The 8221-nt window shown below is 35.8% G+C and overlaps 1 annotated feature.

Moving 5' to 3' along the window:
- Positions 1414-1614: a silencer, noted in NCBI's record as "peak3898 fragment used in MPRA reporter construct". NCBI's record gives its function as "represses an SCP1 promoter by STARR-seq MPRAs in K562 erythroleukemia cells {active_cell/tissue: K562}" and the evidence as "EXISTENCE:reporter gene assay evidence [ECO:0000049][PMID:32103011]".

An 8221-nucleotide genomic window follows, 5' to 3' on the forward strand; every position in this document is an offset into this window, starting at 1 on the left:
ATGAGTTAAATGGTTAAAGGTACGGATGTAGAGTGAGGTAAGACATTTGGGCTAAAAATGCAATTTACCATACTTTAAGGTGAGGTTTTGGTGATTCATTATTTTACACTGTCCGGGTCACCCAGTATCACCCATATTGTCTTCCTGTTAAGGGGACAACTTGGCCTTTGTTGACACTGACATTTCATCTGGTCCTTTTCCTCTTACCCTGCATGAGTTATTCCCCAAAAGAAAGAATAAGAACAGTAATCACTATTCATTTACTTAGGGAAAACATCTGGAGGATTGTTTTTGTTTTTCTTCAGTTTTCATCTGGATGTCTGGCATTGTGTCAAGGTTTTACTCTGAGAAGCTTTAAAAAGCGAGTCCAGTTAGTGTGTTACTTCCTCTCCACTTTGTAATAATACACTAGAGTCTTGCTCAAATGCCACCCCTGGGATGCATGCTAGGAACCATGTTATAGAGGAAAGAGCAGGATAAATTCCTTCTGATGTTCATTCACAACAGTAAATTCCCTCGTAAACCTAAACCAATGGCCCACTTTAGAAATCATCCTGGGCCTTACTTTGTCACATTACAATGAGATTCTAATGTGCAGGAGACCCTGGGTATCCTTGGATTTAACTGTCACAGTTTCTTCTACTTGCTAATTACCCATGGGAACACAGTGGGTGATCACTTGTCATTTTTGTTGCAATACATATTTGAGTGCCCTTTGTTCACATCTTGGTGCCACAGTTTTGTTCTCTAATTGTTGTTTCTTTATCTTTTCTTAGGGAAAATTAACTTTACTAACAGTATTTCAAATTTGGAAAATTTCCAGATATCTTAGGATATAACTCTTTTGATTCCTGGAAGTCTTTCTTGATCTTTTTTTTTTTCAGAAAAAAAAGATGATTATAAATTCAAGTTTGATACTTCAAATAAAATAAAGCAAAAAAAAAAAAAAACTTCAGGGCAGCTTTGATATATATTTAGTGAATAATAGATATGCATATGCTATCTTTGCTCCTGAACTGGTTTTTCTGCATGAACAAAGCACATATAAAATTAATATGTTAAAGATATGGCCTGTGGTATAATCAGGTATAGGGAGAACTGCAGCAGAAGGAGCAATGTATGAGAAACTAAGACCTGACAGGAAAGAGGCAGGCATTGAAAAAACAACAACAAAAACGGGGGGACAGATCAAGTTAAACAAAGGGAAAGTAAAATTAGGAGATCATAGAAATATCCTACACGTGACCATGAAGGTAAGCAATTAGCAAAACCATCAAGAAGTTTCAGGATGCCATATCAGAACTCAGGACCCAAGAATCTAGATTTAGTCATTTCAGGTCCATGTCCGTGGGTCACCTTCCACTACATTTTATGCCACTAAAAGGAAGGACCCATATTCTGCTGTATTTTTTTTTTATATCTCTGCTTTCTAGCACACTATTTGACTCGAAATTGGTACTTTATACATGCCTGGTGAATGAGTAAATGTGCATAAATGAACATACGAAAATCTGTCAATGAATAACAAGACCCAGCCTTTCAGGATGGTGTTAAAAGCAGAAGTCTCTTATCTGCTGGGCAGTTTGGAGAAGGCCATGGAGACCAAGGCAGACTGACCTTCAGTGGAGAGTGATAGTAGACATGGGATCAAGAGAAGTGGCCGGGCACGGTGGCTCACGCCTGTAATCTGAGCACTTTGAGAGGCCGAAGTGGGAGAATCACGAGGTCAGGAAATTGAGACCATCCTGGCCAACATGGTGAAACTCCGTCTCTACTAAAAACCCAAAAATTAGCTGGGCGTGGTGGCGTGTGCCTGTAATCCAGCTACTAAGGAGGCTGAGGCAGGAGAATCGCTTGAACCTGGGAGGCAGAGTTTGCAGTGAGCCAAGATCGCGCCACTGCACTCCAGCCTGAGTGACAGAGCAAGACTCCGTCTCAAAAAAAAAAAAAAAAAAAAAAAAAAAAAGAGAAGTACTAGAGTCCAGGCATTAAAAACGATCTGCTTGCAGGTCTGAGGAACAAGGTAAGAATGTAGCATGGCAAGAGATGTCACGTTAGAGTGGGGTTGTAAGGTGGCAGCAGGGCAAGGAGGACTTCCTACTGCATGCCCTAAGAATTGAATTAAAGTTTCTTAACATCCCCAGCCAAGTACACTTACTACCCCACAGCCAGAGGTAAGGGTCAAGTGACCTGCAATGATGGAAAGAAAGGTATATTTGGTTAGGAGACTTGTGAGATCACATAACTATATATTCTTTTTCGAAATATCAATAAATGTTGAAGAAAGTGTAATTTTCTTAGTCAATTTGAATAATGCTTAAAACCCTAATCAACACATGCTGTCTGATTTTGTTATGTGGTTGAAATGAGAGCAGTTCATCAAATAAGAATAAATAAAATATTCTGAATCCTTACTTAAAAGCCTCAAAGGACACTGTAGAAAATCTACTTCATGCTGTATTTTTACAATCCTCTTTTTCTACAAAAATAAAACTCTTTTTCCACTTTTTCCATAAAAAAGTGAATAAAGTATAAAATTTTTAAAGTTGAGAAAAGGACAACTAAATAAATGTAAGAAAAAAGGAAGAAAGAAAAATAAAATAGTAGAAATAAGTAAATTAGAAAACAGGAAGCAAAAGATAAAACTATTAATTGAGTCCATGATTTGGTTTCTGGAGAGAAAAAAAGAGAGAAACATCATGAGAGCAAAAACAAGAGGAACAGAGAGAAAGAGATAGAGGAATAGTGAGCAAAATGTGGGGGGAAGAGAGAGAGAGAGCAAACCATTAGCTAAACTAATAAAAAATAAACAAAGGTATGGTGTATAAAGAGAGAAAAAAACATGAATGTACAAAATTATCTATTAGAATAGAGAAAATAGGCACAGATACAAAGAAATTTTACTTTGCTCCATTCTGTAGAAAAAAAATTTGAAAGCTAGGTTCAAAGGAACAAATTGCCAAAATATATCCTGGTAAAAATATGAAGTTAAAATGAAAAAGTTGTCAGGAGAACATCAAAAACAAAAGTACTTGGTTCAGACATTTTTTACAGTTGAATCTATAAAATCTGTAAGAAATAAGAAATCTAATCTTATCTGAAAATGTTTCAGCCTGGGCGCGGTGGCTCACGCCCATAATCCCAGCACTTTGGGAGGCCAAGGCGGTTGGATCACCTGAGGTCAGGAGTTTGAGACCAGCCTGGCTGACATGGTGAAACCCTGTCTCTACTAAAAATAAAAAAAAAAATAGCCAGACATGGTGGTGCACACCTGTTGTCCCAGCTACTTGGGAGGCTGAGACAGGAGAATCACTTGAACCCAGAAGGTGGAGGTTGCAGTGAGCTAAAATCATGCCATTGGCTCCAGCCTGGGTGACAGAGCCAGACTCCATCTCAAATAAAATGAAAAAAAAAAAAAAGGAAAATGTTTTTGAAAATAGAGAAAAAAGGTAAAGTTTATGTACTTGTTTTATGAAGCTCCTGTTACCAAAACCTGACAAAATAGCATGGTGCAATAAAATTAAATAAAAACATTATTTTATTATAGCAAAAACCAAAAGCAGCATATTGTCAAATAAACCACAGTCACATGCTATAAGATAATGTACCACAAACATATGGAGTTTATACCAGGAATGCAGGGATAGTTCAATATACGGTGCTCTAGTAACACAATGTGCATAATTAGAGATCCCAGGACAGCACTCATTTGACTATCTCCATAAATGCCAAAAGGCATTTGATAAATGTCTTTTATAACAGAAATTGATTTATAATCTCCCAATAATAACATTGAATCGACATAAGCTCAATGGTAAAATACTAAAAAAATTTTCATTAAAATGAGATATAAGCTAGATGTCTACCATCTTTATTAGTTTTAATTTTCTGTAAGCATTAGAAATACCCTTAGCCAAAACAGAATAATAAGAAGCATAATGATTAGAAGGAATGACGCTAACTTATTATTATTATTTTATTTATTTATTTTTTTTTGAGACGGAGTCTCACTCTGTAGCCCAGGCTGGAGTGCAGTGGCGCGATCTCGGCTCACTGCAAGCTCCGTCTCCTGGGTTCACGCCATTCTCCTGCCTCAGCCTCCCAAGTAGCTGGGACTACAGATGCCCACCACCATGCCTGGCTAATTTTTTTGTATTTTTAGTAGATACAGGGTTTCACCGTGTTAGCCAGGATGGTCTCAATCTCCCGACCTCATGATCCACCCCTCTTGGCCTCCCAAAGTGCTGGGATTACAGGTGTGAGCCACCACGCCTGGCCAATTTTTATTATTTGCAGATAAGTTTTGACAAATGAGGAAAAACAACTATAACACCATTATAATTAAACATTCAGTAGCTTGACTGTAGAAGATTAATATACAATTGTTTTTCTAAATGTAAATCATAATTGGTAGGAAAATATAATGGAATAAAAATTCCATCTATTAAAAAAAGGTAAAATACCTAGAAACAAATGCCCCAGATCTATTTGGAAGAAAACAAAAACAAAAACAACAACTTCACTGTTGCATCTAAAAGACTTAAGTAAATATGAAGAAGTGACTTATTCTCAGATAACAGTGATCAGCTTTCTATCAATAGAATAGTGTTTCTCGACTGTATTTTCATTGTAGTCTTTCTAAGGAGATTTTTAAAAATATTTTTTTCTTAATCACTTCCTCCCATTAGATTTTAATACTACAGGTATACTAAATATATATTTTTTTATTTATTACATATATATCTGTTCTTTAAACATAAAAAGAGTAAGTGTTTTTCTCTCCAAACCAATCTTTGTCCTTTTAGGGGTAATATCACCTCTGTTCAGAATATACAAAATAGACCTTCTCCCTTAATTAATTCATAACTTTAATTCAGTCACAATCAAAATACCAACAATAATTTTTGACAAGAATTCCAATTTATAAGACTGCAGAAAAGTTTCAAAGAATAAGAATAATAATAAATACTAGGCCTTCTAATTATTAGACATATTATAGGATACCAGTAATAAACATTCTATAATAGATTTTCCAGAGTAGACATTTCATAAATAGAGCCAATACATGGTGAAATTTAATTGTGATCAAAAAATGAATTATCAAAAAAATGGAATTGGAACAAATAACTAGCCAGAGGAGTAAGACTGAGAAGTTGGGTCTCTAATCACACTTTTTATACAAAAATAAATAAAATGGTTTAAAGGTTTTAATGCAAAATGAGATACTATATAAGTAATAGGAGAAAATATAGGATAATTATTTATAGCTTCTTGGAGGAAAAGCCTGTGGAGTAAGAAACAAAACCCAGAAAACATAATAAAATTAAACTCTTTGCATAAAAATTAAAATATTTGCATGGTTAAAACACCATAAACTTAAAAGACAAAACATACCAGAATAAAATATATTTGCATTGTATATGGAAAAAGGCTATATCCATAAGATACATTGAGCTCTAGTAAATCAGTGAAAAAAATAGCAATGATCCCAGAGAAATGGACAAGAAACGCAGAAGAAAAGGAATACAGTTTATAAATGTAAGAGAAAAATGTTTATCCTCAAAATAAAACTTGAGGGAGACTTTTTTTTCATGTATCAAAGTGGCAAGGGTCAAAATATTTTGTAAAATAGTGTGTCACCGGGATTGTGTAGAAACAGAAATTCTTACCCATTGTTATTGGATGTATAAATCAGCAAAGTTTATGTTTAGCATAATTTGTCAATTTCTATGAAAAGTAAAAATTTACATACCCCTTGACCAATATTTTCAGATCTAAGTATTTATACTACAGATATATTGATACATTGTCTTTGTAATTCAAGACTCTTTTTTCAAGAATGTTTATTGCAGCATTTTTGTAACAGCAAAGAAGCGCTAAATATCCAATAATAAGAGAAATAATAATAAGAGAGGGAAAGGTAGAGAGAGTTGAGGACAGAAGATATCCATATATAGAGAGATACTCTATACAGATCTCTCTATATAGATAGGTATCTCCTATCTCTCTCTCTATATATATATGTATATATATAAAATGTATATCTTTTCTCTTATTATTGGATATTTAGCGCTTTGCTCTTACAACAATGCTGCAGTAAACATTCTTGAAAAAAGAGTCTTGAACTACAAAGACAATGTATCAATATATCTGTAGTATAAATACTTAGATCTGAAAATATTGGTCAAGGGGTATGTAAATTTCTACTTTTCATAGAAATTGACAAATTATGCTAAACATAAACTTTGCTGATTTATACATCCAGTAACAATGGGTAAGAATTTCTGTTTCTACACATTCCCGGTGACACATTTTATATACATATATATATATGTGTGTGTGTGTGTATATATACATTTATTTATAAATATATATTTATATAAATACATTTATAATTATATATGAATGTATTTATATAAAACTTTATATATAAATTATATAATAACTTTATGTATGTATATAACTTTATATATATAGAGAGAGTGAGAGAGTATCTTTCTATATAGGTAGATATCTCCTACCGAATCTGTTTCTCTGGAGAACATTGATATAGTATGTTATTATACCTTTTAACAAAACTTGATGAACATGTTACAATTATGTAGTCAACATCTGTCTCTGGAAGGACATTCCAGAGTGTGATAATAGTGCTTGTGTAAATATGTTACTCAAAGTTTGGTTTCCTGCAGGGCAGCATCAACTGGAAGTGTGTAAGCAATGCAGACACCCAGTTCCCACCCACTCCAGACCTGTGGAATTGGAATCTGCATTTTAATAAACTTCAGCCTTTGAGAAGCAGGAGCATGGGGGATGGGGCCTGGGAGATAAGGGTTCAGATGAAAGGCGGCAACTTCTTCAGCCTAGACCCTCACGCATTGGCTGAACTTTCCTCTCTTCCCTTTCTTCAGTCCCCTCCCTCCCTAACTTGCCAGGTTCAAGGGGCACAGCTACTCTCTAGCCCCTCTCCTTTCTTACTTTCAAACCATTTCTCACATGCTGCCTATTGTGACCTTTTCTCTTAACAATTTTCTTTCCCTCTTTTGGAAGTAAATCACAGTAGTCCAATTAACTTCTTCTCATTTCTGGGATTTCCCCACCCCCAACCTTTGATGACCCCATCTCCATAACACTTAGGACCATGGGGACAGAGAGCTTGGGGTGCATAGAGCAGACACTGCCTAGTTGGCATTGCTCACTTTCCTCAGCAGTTGTCGGGTAGGGGCTGAGCTGTCCAGGAAGAGGGGTGGGATAATTTGGAAATTTTTGTTTTCATTTTTGCTTTTGTGTGCTCATATTGTGTTTTAGGTAGAAATTTTTTTTTTTTTTTTTTTTTTTTTGAGATGGAGTCTTGCTCTGTCACCCAGGCTGGAGTGCAATGGTGCAATCTCTGCTCACTGCAAGCTCTGCCTCCCAGGCTCACGCCATTCTCCTGCCTCAGCCTCCCGAGTAGCTGGGACTACAGGCGCCTGCCACCACGCCCGGCTAATTTTTTTTGTATTTTTAGCAGAGACGGGGTTTCACCGTGTTAGCCAGGATGGTCTTGATCTCCTGACCTTGTAACCCGCCCTCCTCGGCCTCCCAAAGTGCTGAGATTACAGGCGTGAGCCACCGCATCCGGCCTAGAAATTCCTTTTTTATTTTTAACGAGACAAGATTTTACTTAATGAAGGGATTTATCTCGATGCTCATAGCAGATCTTGAAAATTTTTAACTTTGGAAGCTTTTAAAAATAGCATAAATGGTTGCAGAAGTCAGTGGAAGATAAATTGATCTTATTAGAAGATACGTTACTCAATAGAGGCTCACCTGGTTTAGAGAAAAACTATAACCTAAACAGAAAGAGGAAAGAAATGCAGAAAAATGGCCTTGGAAAAAATCTAACACTGATAACACCTGAAAACTTTGCTTGTTCACAGTATTGTTAAGCTAAGGCTCTTGTAATGTTTCCAAAGAATAAATGAGCCTAAAGTCTGCTGTAACTCAATATGACCTTAAAGACTGTCTTCTAACAACTCTTATGGCTATTCAAACTACTCAGCATTCAAATGGATGCTTTAGGCTGCTGTGTGACTTAGAAAAATGAGCTCCATTTTGTAGGCAGCCCTTGCTGCTTCTGTGCTCTCACTTTGATGCTCAGGCACATTCTGCTGTGTATCACCTCCTTTATCCAAATAACCATGCTCAACATCAAAGGCCTTCCTATCTCTACTTGCCGAAACAT

The sequence above is a fragment of the Homo sapiens genome, chromosome 2 (assembly GCF_000001405.40).
Source record: "Homo sapiens chromosome 2, GRCh38.p14 Primary Assembly".
Lineage (NCBI taxonomy): Eukaryota > Metazoa > Chordata > Mammalia > Primates > Hominidae > Homo > Homo sapiens.